A 12,064-nucleotide genomic window follows, 5' to 3' on the forward strand; every position below is an offset into this window, starting at 1 on the left:
ATAAAATTTCCTCTTTGTTTTTGTATGATGAAGCTTTACTATAATGTTTACATGTGGATTTATTTTACTTGAGAGTAATTGAGCCTTTTGAATCACTGAATTCTCATAAATTCTGAAAAATTTTCACTGACTTGCCTTTATCCATTTTATCTCTTCTCTCCCTCTGAGATTTCAAATAAATGTATACTAGTCCTTCTCATTGTATTCTGAGTCTCTTATCTTATTTTTTTAAATCTCATGTTTCATTCTGAGTACTTGCTTCTATCTTCTCTTTCATTAATTCTTTCTTTAGCTTTATCTAATTTGCTGTTAAATTCATTTCTTGAGTTCTTTATTTCATGTATTATATTTATCAATTATCGAATTTCTAAGTAACTATTTTACATATCTGCTCCATCACTTTTTATAGTTTTCATTTCCCTGCAAAATTTTTCACTAGACTCCAATCTCATTGAACATCGTAAACATTGTTTTAGTCTATATCCTGTAATTCCGTATGTGGAGATTTTATGTGAGTATTTTTGTTGGTTTTCTTTAATGGTGGTTTGTTTCTTTTTATATCTGAAGTTTTTAATTGTGTATGGGGCATTGTGCTTAAAACTTTATTTGTAACAGTGATTTGAGACCTAGGATGATATTATCTTCCTCCAGAGGAGATTTTTCTTTGGTTGTTCTAGGTGTCTAAAGTCAATAGAAGTTCAGGAACACACAATAAAATTTTCAAAACTGAGGTTATCAGACACAACAAATTGACATAAAATAGGTTGACAGATTTTATAAGACTGGTTTATTTTCAGTTCAGACTTAATCTTACAATAACTCTAGGAATCCTAGTTCAAAGTGAATGTTTGTTTACCCTTGGGCTCTGGATTCTGATTTCTATTCTTCTAGGCCCAACATGCTTCCAGAAACAGAGCTCACCTATTCCTTCCAGAATTACTAATGCCCCTGGGGCAAAAGCAGATTTTAGTGTTAGTGAGCTCTAGTCTTCTCTAGGCTGGTAATTTCCTACCATCTTGTTAAGTCTTCGATGGTTTAGAGATGAATTTATATTTTTTTTTGCAGCTAAGTTATTTTCCATAGAAGGGCAGTCTGATATTTGAAAGTTAACATTGTTGAAGTCAAAGTTCTCATGATGGTACTTTTTAACAATAATGAAGTTGAATATCTTCTGTACTTTGGGTTTTCATTTTGAAACTAGAAGGCGTACTTATAGTACAGCTTTCCTGGAGCCTATCCCATTTGCAATCACAGACCTTTAACTCAAAGTTTATGCAAGCCACATTCTTCTCCTTATTCCTAAAATAAGCCTAGTCTTAGAATGTACAATGTAAATATATCTCTCCTTGCCTCCAAGGAATGTACATAACCCCACTAAGACAGTCATGCTTCCCTATCTTTTCCATTTACTAATTTTGCCACCATTTCCTTCCACTTTCAGTGTGGAATCCAGTTGCTAGTGCCCATGACTATTTCTCAACTTCCAACTTTCAGCTTTCAGTACACTACGCACCATGATCTCCTGACTAGCTGCTTTCTTCATTCTTGCCTCTGTGTTCCAGAATATTATTTAGGCAGAATACATACCTTACAGTAGCTTCATCACATATCTATAGTTTGTAAATTCTAGCTGAAACATCATTTGCAATCATTTTTATTCTCAACTCTCTTACTCAAAATATTCTTTTTCAAAAGTTCATCCTATTTTAAAGTCTGTTAACTGTAACTCGAAGTACCCTATCTCTCATCAATTAACACTTGCTTCCTTTTAGAAATATAAGAGAACCTAGAGTGAATCTAGTTGAAGTCCTTTCTTATAAAGTAACCTGTTTCTTCTCTCATTCTTGATTCATTGTTCCTGTTTCCAAGAAAGATGTATTTCTGCCTTTCCAAAGGGTACCAATCTAACTATACTCTTAAATTATTGAGTCTTATCTTCCATGTATTCTCACTCCATCAGTGGTCCTTCTCTTGTATCGTCAATCATTCCATCTTTACCAACCTCCTCCTCTCAAACTATAAGCCCTTAAAGTATCCTTCAGCCCAGAAAGCAAAACAAAATGAAAAAAAAAATCTGTATTGAGTGAATGGCAATGACTGTTCCATTTACCACTAGCTTTATATGCTGGCAGGAATCCCACATGAAAATTAAGAAAATTTATTAGGTAGTATGATTTTCCTTACCTCCAAAGAAAATTCTAGCCAGAGAATTGATAAAACCTCTAATGCTATATAATTAAAAATAACTCTGTAGGAAATAGAAGTTCTCATGCTTGGCACTACATGCAGACCTCCAGTATACTCTCCATTTGCTCTTCAAAATGTCTGACTTCTAGGGCTGACTTCATGTGTAAGTGCTTCTTGTCAATCTGTTAGTATTTGAAGGATAACTAGAAGGATTTCCTACCCCAGCATCTTCCCTAAGGATTCAAATTTATTGTTTTGTTTTCATCCCTTTGATCAAACATTATGGTCTCCTCTCTTATTGTTTTTAATTCTTCTAGGAGAATGTTTCTCAAACCTAGGCATCTATTGGAATCACATGTGGGACTTAAACAAAATTATGTGCAGGTGCCATCCTCAGAAATTGTCTGTCTTATTTGGTCAGGGGTGGACTCCCGCCATTGCCATTTTTAAAAGTTCTCCTGGTCATTGTAATGTATAGCCAGTTGAAAACTATATTCCTAGTTGAGTGACATGCAAGTACACTAATACCATATAGCAAGAATCAGTTTTCTTACCTTCTTTTTGTGACATTCCTGTGTGGCATTTTAGCAGCACGTCCTGAGATCATCCTCCTGAAAGGAGAAAAAAATAATCAAGAGGTAAGTTGGCCATAAAATTATCCAAGTTTTACTGTGACCTAATAGTAATAATAGGATATGAATTATTACCATAATTCACATCCATATGAGAAAACTCTTTCTTGGTTTGAGAAAACGTGTTTTTTGCCTCCCAGTCTGGAGAAAACATGTTGCGTTCCTCTGGCACATGTACATGTTTATGCAGATCCATTCCCTAGAGGAACTTCCAAATAAACGGAGCATATTATATATGGCAACCGAGAAACATAGCTTTATGTTGCCTGTTGTAGAATTATTTCATGACATTAACATTTTTATGCACCCCCATATTAAGTTTTATGCTTAGATTTAATGTCACCAGGTAGGAACCAAGGTAAATGCCACATCCCAAATCCACATAGAGTCAGAGCTAAACCATCAGTTATCAAATCTGTCTTTTTATGTGCTGTGAGATTTATACACATTGCTTTAGAAAGCTGCATTCACTGGAAGATGCTGGTTTGTGGAGGGGCAAGGAAGTACATTTACAGGTTAGCTTGGCTGAACTGTGTTGATTTCTCTGCAGAACAGTCTTCACAATTCTTTGCTCACAGTTAAAGGTCTGCTGAAAGTGACTCAGTGTAGATGAAAACAGCTTGCTTAATCATTCCTGAAACACGGGAAAAATTAAAATACATTTTTTTATCAAGCAATAAAAACAATGCCAGATTGTTAATGCCTCTTTTGTACCTTTCACTTAAAAGACCTCAAAAAGAACATCAAGGAGAATAAAGGCAAAATCTATTCCCCAATGCCGTCATTATACATGTTGAAGCCTCTAAAACTAGAACTCTAAAGACATTCAGGAAGAGCAGGGGAATAAATGACAGCAAACTGAAGAGTGCGTCTCTGGAGCTTTGTTCAACCTGCTTTGTTCAAATTCATTCAAATTGGATAATGAAAAGCAAAGATCTTTTTTGTTTCAACATTAAAGTAGTAAATTAGTGAGTGGTGAGTTGCTAATTGTTCTGTAAAGTATTTAAGGTGCCAGGAGTGTCCCATCTCCAATTTTTAAAATGGCATCCTTATGGTTGAAATGAAAGGAACCATTAGAGTAGTGTAAAACAATGTTTTTAATAATTTATGCTGGTTCAATTGAAATGATTTTCATTTAGAAATACTCATTGAAGTTCTTGTTTTTACTTGAGATAAGCAAGTTTTATTTTAGACTTCAAGATATCAAATAGAAATTCATTTTCCGGATGGGGCTAAAGTAGAAAGATAGATTAGAGCTATCCAATGTTGTGTTTCAAATCTGGCTGTTTCTACTTGCTTTGAAGGTATAGAATTAGCAGGTTTGGTTAAATTTTACTTGAATTTTGGGTGACCTTTTCTAATCCTGACTGTTTCATAATTTAGTGTCTTGACCTTCGTTTTCCATAGAGCCACCTTAGTGATAAATGCAGAGATTTAATAACTAGAACCAGTTGACAGGTGACCTTTCGTACATGGCTGTTCCTTTTTGCTGTGGAAACCACTGTTTTGCAAGTTTTATTATTTCACAAATTTTAATTATTTATTCTATTGTCTATAAGCTTATTCAGAGAGAAAAAAGTAAAGGTTAAATATTACATTATTCTTACTGATTAAAATGTAAAGTGCTTGGCACTTGTCCCAATATATCACTCAGAAAGGATAGGGCAATTTGTCAGGTTCATACCCAAAGAAGAGAAAGGGATGGTTTTCCCAGGGTGGTTGGTAAGGATGAAACTGGCCTAGGAGAGTGAGCAATCACATCAGCTAAGTGAAGGTAACAGATGTGTGTGTGTGTGTGTGTATTTGTGTGTGTGTGTGTGTGGTGTGAATTTTGAATGGAGGAACAGAAGGGTTCTTTTACTGTATGTGTACCAATTTAAAGAGAAAAGTGACCCTGAGTCAACGAGAGGTGAAACTTGCCAGTCAGGGTGAATAACCTGTCAGTTTTGGCCATTTCTCTCTCTCCCTCTCTCTCTCACTCACTTTCTCTCTTACCCAGGAAAGAATTGGTTAAGCATATCATGGTAAATTGATTTCTGGAATCTATGTCAATAAAATATATTGTTTACAAACAAGGAAATAAGGCTGAGTAATTATAAAAATGCTAGAGACTTTTAGAAAGAGTTAAGAATATCTACACTTTCCCCCCACCCTACAGTATCAGAGAACATAGGACCTTCACAGGGAATCAATTCCTCTGTACTTACATTCTTCAGTATTTTTCAGAACAATTCATTTGTATGCCTCTCAAATACTCATGCTTATAATAAAATAAAAATAAAAACAGGCATGGTATAAAAAGACCCATCGTGTGAACATAGTACCCCAGTCAGCCATTGTCCTGGATCCTCATAGAAGAGAAGAGCCATTCATGAGTTAGAGACCTCTTGACAGTCTTCAATGAACATTGATTCCCAAGGACTTGCAAATGGCCACTGTGAATTTCTAAAGTGAATTTCTGAAGGAGGCTTTTGGGCAGTGGGGAGGTATTATTCCCTTTAGTCCTGGAGACCAGTTTAGAAAATAATATCATCTGCCATGGTCTTTTTTGCCCGACATGGACAGTAATTATTTATTGCTTGAGAATCTTTCACTGCTGTTGTGAAAGAAACAGTTTGAAAAGCAAATTGAGTAAGCAGATGTGAAGGACCATTTAAAAGCTAATAAAATTGGTCATGATTAGTTTATCTTAGACTGAAATTTCAGCCATATTTCAAGCTGAAAATATCAACAAAAACATTTTCAATAATTTTTTATGTCATGCTAGCACTATTGCCAAAAAGGAATAGTGGTGAAGTTATTGATTACAAGCATGTTTAAAGCATTAATCTATGATTTAATTAAAATAATTTAAATATAATAGTGAGCAAGATTTGAGGTATCTGCATATATGTATATTAAGAATAGTGAAAATCAGTAATAATTATTTCTTTGATATTCCACATTTCCTAATGCTGCTGTGAGTGCATTTCCTGAAAGTTAACATATGCTCTTCTTTTTAACCTGAAAAATATCTAGTATCCTTTGGACATCATGTTTATCTCAACTTCCTCAACTCAGTAATGGAAAATGAATTAAGGTAACTTGAAAAATCTGCCATGAAAATTATGTGGAATAATGTAATAAAGTACTGAGAAATATGACTGACCTGTAATAGGCATTCAATCATGTGTATATCAAAAATTCTACTACACTATACTTATAGGTCTCTCTGGTGCTGTTTCTTCCCTTCCTCTCTCTCTCACCTTCTACCTGTGCCCCAGCCAATAATCAAGTCATTTTTTCCTGTAAGGTGGCAAAATGTCGAGATTCATTTTAGCAGAGAAATGACTTGTTTTACAAAGCCATTCCTTAGGCTTCTAAAACAGCATACGAATTGACTCTAGTTGATCATGAAACTCTCCCACACAGCTTAGCGCTGTGTGCTGAGATTAAGTTCACACTGATTAGAATTTTAAAATTATTTTACTCTTCACAGTGCCTTGCACAGAATAGGTACTAAATAAAAATTATGTGGTTATTCAATAGATGTCACCAAATTCTTAACTCCTCCCAAGCTGATTGTTTTGAAACCAGATGTGCTGGTATAGAGTTAGTATACTTTTGCAGAGGAAAAAAATAGCCAAAACAAATACAGTGCTGTTACCATAAAAGAAAATCAATATTTTAGACCTTAAATAAAAGGAAGTGTTTGACATTTGTGGCTTTCTTTAACAAGGACATAGGGACCCAGACAGGGTTGGCTGAATATTTGTGGTGCTCTCAGTTTATAGACACAGCTGAAGCCCAGTGAAAATATTTTGAATGTACAAGATGTTTTCAAAGATGCTTTGAGTGCACAAGAGACAAGATGAAGAAGACAAGTTTGTTTTTAATGAAAAAAAAAAAGCAAAAAATAGAGACAATTCAACTATAAAGGGAGAATTCAAAATTTAGATGTGGCTTGATAAAGTGGAACTAGATAAATCTTAACAAAGTTCTTGGAAAATCCAGGACCTCAGTCTAGAAAGAAAGAGTAACTGCCTACTGAAGCAGAACTGAGTGAGTGAAGACATATGGAATAAATTTTCAAGCAAAGCCCCCAAATCAAATAATATGAATGAGTTGAAGAAATAGCAGTACACTTTAACAGAGAAAGTTGAGATCAAAAGACGTAGTAATAAAGCTAATAAGAAAAACTGAGATAACTAGATAAGAGCAGATTTTGGGTCAAATTGTCCATTTGTGCCTAGGTATTTCTTTCTTTTTGTCATGGCATACTGTAGTTTGAAGGTGCCTTCAGATGTATAAATGAGTCCCTTGGGCTTTGCAAGCAAGCTTTTTGTGCTACCTGAAGCTCCTGATTATGATTAGGAATGTTCCATTTGTCTGGCCCCCACACTCTTGTCATACTTTAAAGATGGTTCCTGCAAGTAAGTGGTAAAATAGAGCAATTATCATGTTCATCCATGTCTCCTGGTACCTTATTCAGGAAGGCAGATGGCTAGGCAAAACTATTACCCAGAAGTATAGACCAAGAAGTACAAACGTCTCTTAAGATGACGGCCATGGTGACAGTAGGGCCAAGTGAATAGTCAAACAAAAAAACAAAGTGGCAATTTTATAGATCACCATCTACCCTCAAAGCCGTTGCATTCATAATACTCTACCCAATGACATATTTGTCACATAAACAAGAGGCTGTTGTTCCCAATGTTTGCCCTCAAGTTGTTAGTTAGCTGCTGACCTCATAATCTGCACAGCTGTGGCATCCCAATGTGTTGTCATGAAACAGATTGTGATGTCTTAATTGATCACTTTCAGAGGTTACAATTGTCAAGTGAGACCAGTGTGCTGGTCTCACTTAATTCTATATTAAGCCTTGTTACAGCAAAACTGGCTAATTCATTATAATGACTAGGAAATCCAATGTAATTTGCTGCATTTTATAGATTTGAACATATCCAAGACTTTCTTTTTCTTCTTTTTGATTGTTTAAATTTGTGGAGGCTATACCCCAACCATGCTTTTATTACACAACGAAGCAACTTCTTGGAATAGCAAATGGAATGTAACCCCCCGCACCATATGCATCTTGGTGATAAGTTGGAGTATGCCATATGATACACACAATTTAAATCAGGCATTGATTTGCATGACTGTAAGTGAATTGGAGGACTCAGCTAAGAGTAATGGATGTCAGGCTCTGCTGCAAGCCGTCTGGCAAGAAGAATATTATGTTCTTCTCTATTGTGTAAAAGAAGGTAGGCTCCTAAGAGGTTGAGGAAGGGTCTTAAATCAATGCGTGACCCCAAAGGGCACTTCCTTGTGCCTCCATTTTGGTCACTGGTGAAGTCTTCACTATGGCACTAACCTATAAAACTCTCTTTTCCAAGTGTCCTAATACACTCATTCACCTTGTATGGATCTATTCCCATCTGGTGCCTGGACCACCTGCTACTCACATTAGTTGAGAAACCTTACTGTGTTAGGGGTGATGAACAGTCCCTTTAATAACAGAGTTTTAAGACAACTCATAAATGGGCCTTTGTGCATTCTGCAAGTCAAGTTTTTTTCAAAAGTTTTATCTTTGACATTTCAAATAAACACATGCCTTTGTCGGTCTGGCACATTTTATAGGAGTACAAATAAAAATGAAATCAAAGAAACTAATTTAAGTTAATGTAATAACTGTTAGCATCCAAAATGCAGGAGGAAGAACAAGCATGTTTATCAAAGCACTTTTTTATAGTAGAAAAAAAAACAGATAATAGCTAAATGCCCAGCAGTAGGCAAATCGGTACATATGGTATATCCCTATAATGGAATCTTGTGCAGGCATAAAACTATCTCTAAGGGCTGACATGGGAAAGGCTGATGATTTTTGATTAATGGTTTCTCATTAAGTAAGAAACCAAGGTGGCCAAAGAATATAAATGGCATTTCTCAACCTGTCTAAAATAATATCTATAGAAAGGAAAAAAATATGACAAAAATCGGTGTAGTGTTATTGAGTGATGAGAATATGGAGAATTTTTTAAATCATTTTGTCCATTCTTTTTAGTTTTTGAGTTTCCCATATTACTTTACTAATTAGGGGGAAAAAGTTTTTAAAGCAGTTTGAGTAGTTTCAATTCAATAGGCTGTACCTTCAGAATATTTCCAGAACATAAGCGGCTTCTCTCCATCTCCTTTGCTACTCAACATGGTCCACATCACTATCCTCTCTTGCTGGGATTGTAGCAGCGGCCTAATCTCCTGCTTCCACCCTGGCCTCTTTTTTTTATCAACTTTCCACACAGTTGCCAAAGCTGTTAAAATGTAACTCAGCTCAGTCATTCCTCTGTCCCGAGCCCTTCAATGGCGCTTCATCTCACGCAAACTGAAAGACCCCAAGTGATTTCTCCCCTGCTATCTGTCTGGCCTCAGTACCTACTTGGCTCTCCCCACTGGCTCTGCCAGGCTACATTGCTCTTCCTATTCCTTTCCTGCCTCAGGGTATTTGCATTGGTTTTTGCATTTGCTCTGCAGGAAAGCTTTTTTCCTAAATATGCTCATGGCCAACTCTTTCACTTCATTCAAGTCTTTCCTCAAAGATTATTTTCTCAGCAATGTCTTTTTCTGGTTACTCCACCAACTCTCTCTCTCTCACACACTCACACACACACGTGCACACACATACCTCTTAACCTCCTTTCCTGCTTTAATTTTCTCGATTTAGTACTTAGCAAAATTTAACATATTATATGGGATGATAGTTTATTTATTGCCTTTCTCCTGCACCCAACTTGAATATAAGCTCTATGAGAACAGGAGTTTTTGTTTATAGTTTTCACTGCTGAATTCTAACCCCTGGAACTGTGCCTGACACATCGCAGGTGCTCTATGACTGCTGTGAGTGCCTACCATTGATAGGAACAATGGTCTGTTACAGTTGTATGATGACTAACTGGTTGATTTTTATGCAGTATCTTACCTCTCAGTGTAGTTATTTTAATTCAATTGCTTTCACTTCCTAACTTAACCAACTGAGCCTTTAATGTATTCCAGGGACTGACGGGGGAATGGAGTTAAAATGAAAAAGATAGGCATTGTTCTGACATAGTTTACTGTCTAGTGGACAGACATAATTAAACAATAAAGTCCAACACAATACATAAAACAAGGATAGTACCCAGTCGAGAGAGGCTACTCACCAACAGGCACAATAAAAATTCAAGATCGAATGTCAGATGCAAAATGTGGAATCTCATAGAAGGGAGATGAGAAAGATGTATATCAAAAAAGCACATTGCTTCTTTATTACTGTTTTAAAAGAAAGGGTGACTATGTGGGAGAGAAGCAGCAAAAGCAATCTATTTGGTTGTTTTAGGAGAACTGAAAGCAAGGAATAACGGAAAGGGCAGTGGGCTTAGAGTTAGACGATCTAGATTTGAATCTAACACTGCAGCTTTATCATCTCCAAGTCCTGAAAGCTGATGCTTAACTTCCACGAGTCTCTATTATCTCCGTGGTTAAATAAAAAGGGAGAAAGGGACTTAGACTAACTATAGAGACTGTCTGTGTATATACCTTCCCATCTAAAAGGAGGCCTTTCCTTATCCATCTAGGATAAACATAAACACAGACGCCAATTAATATGATGACTTGAGGGAATCTCTGAAGGGTCTCTGTAATATTTCTGCTAGCCTGGGACTTACCTTAAGTAGTTACTGGTTCTGAAAATCTGTTTTATAACCTCATTGCTTGCTGAACTCTTCATATTTTTATCAATTGCTCATAACCATTCATGCATACAGGTAAAATACATAATTGATCCCTGGATATGTTTCTTTTGCATTTCCTTTATAGCCACCAACCTTATTACAAAGATCAAATCTTTTCGTATTTTCTTATTTCACCTGAAATTACAGTTCTGAATAAAAATATTTATCATTTAGAGTGGAAAACAAATAACTATTTTTTGCCTATAATTTTAAACCAGGGCGTGGGGATTATAGAAATTAAAATTATTTTTTGACGGTATACTTTTTCTTTTTTAATGGAAGCATGCTGTTAACTTGATAATCTGTGGCAGCGACTGTAGGTTTGGTATTTGTAGGTACTTCAGAGATATTTCCATATTTGGTAATTATACAATATATGAACTTTTGTTTTCCCATAGGAACTTGTTTGACTAAGTGGAATTTACTAATTTACATGCCTTCTTTCTCTATTTTTCAGCCTTTGCAACTGGACTGTGACCTTTGTGCCATAGTGTCAAACTCAGGTCAGATGGTTGGCCAGAAGGTGGGAAATGAGATAGATCGATCCTCCTGCATTTGGAGAATGAACAATGCCCCCACCAAAGGTTATGAAGAAGATGTCGGCCGCATGACCATGATTCGAGTTGTGTCCCATACCAGCGTTCCTCTTTTGCTAAAAAACCCTGATTATTTTTTCAAGGAAGCGAATACTACTATTTATGTTATTTGGGGACCTTTCCGCAATATGAGGAAAGATGGCAATGGCATCGTTTACAACATGTTGAAAAAGACAGTTGGTATCTATCCGAATGCCCAAATATACGTGACCACAGAGAAGCGCATGAGTTACTGTGATGGAGTTTTTAAGAAGGAAACTGGGAAGGACAGGTGAGCCCTCTCTGAAGCAGCTTTATTGTCTTTTATTATCTTTTATGCTAAATCTTCGCCAATTCCTTTTGCAGGATATAAAATGAACAGTTATTTATTTACGCTGATTGTTATATGTTTTGACTATTATGATTACTTGATAAGCCAGCCTGAGGTCTCATTTATTCCACCTATACTACCTCCTGTTCTTTCCATTCTGATTGGTTTGAGTCTCCAAGAAACACTGGATACTTCCCCAAGGTATCTTTTGATCTTTTTTTATTTTGTTCCATTTGCTATTGATTGAGTTGGATTTCAGCTGAAAGAGGAAGCCTAAACATTTCTGTTTCAAAACCTAGTAATGGTAAGGAACTTTAGGATTATGCATTAATCTAAACTCCTCTGGGAATTTTGCCAAAATTTTACCTGAGACCACAAACAGAACAGGCTACTGATTCTCCAATAAGATTGTGTAGCTTCTTGCATGCAAATAGGCACTGTGATCCTGAACATCATAACTTGGTATCTAACTTGTTCAGCAGAATACCATATTGAAATTATACGTCCCTTAAAATCATTAGCAGTTGAATTATTTTAAAGAAATGAGGTATAAATACTATTCATTCAATTATCCAAAAACCAATTTGCATTTTT

The 12,064-nt window shown here is 35.9% G+C and overlaps 1 protein-coding gene across 15 annotated transcripts in view; it reads left to right on the forward strand.

Annotated features, from left to right (window-relative positions):
- Window positions 1-12,064, forward strand: part of ST6GALNAC3 (ST6 N-acetylgalactosaminide alpha-2,6-sialyltransferase 3) — a 562,594-nt gene that overhangs the window by 326,241 nt on the left and 224,289 nt on the right. For all 15 annotated transcript variants that reach the window (NR_146056.2, NM_001349109.3, NM_001349106.2 and 12 more), the window contains one exon: window positions 11,022-11,431. Coding sequence is in view for 14 of the 15 variants with exons in the window: in NM_001349109.3 (NP_001336038.1) it covers window positions 11,022-11,431 (410 nt within the window). In the remaining variant the exon portion in view is untranslated. The remainder of the gene's footprint in view (window positions 1-11,021; window positions 11,432-12,064) is intronic.

This window comes from Homo sapiens, chromosome 1, assembly GCF_000001405.40.
Source record: "Homo sapiens chromosome 1, GRCh38.p14 Primary Assembly".
Taxonomy (NCBI): Eukaryota; Metazoa; Chordata; class Mammalia; order Primates; family Hominidae; genus Homo; species Homo sapiens.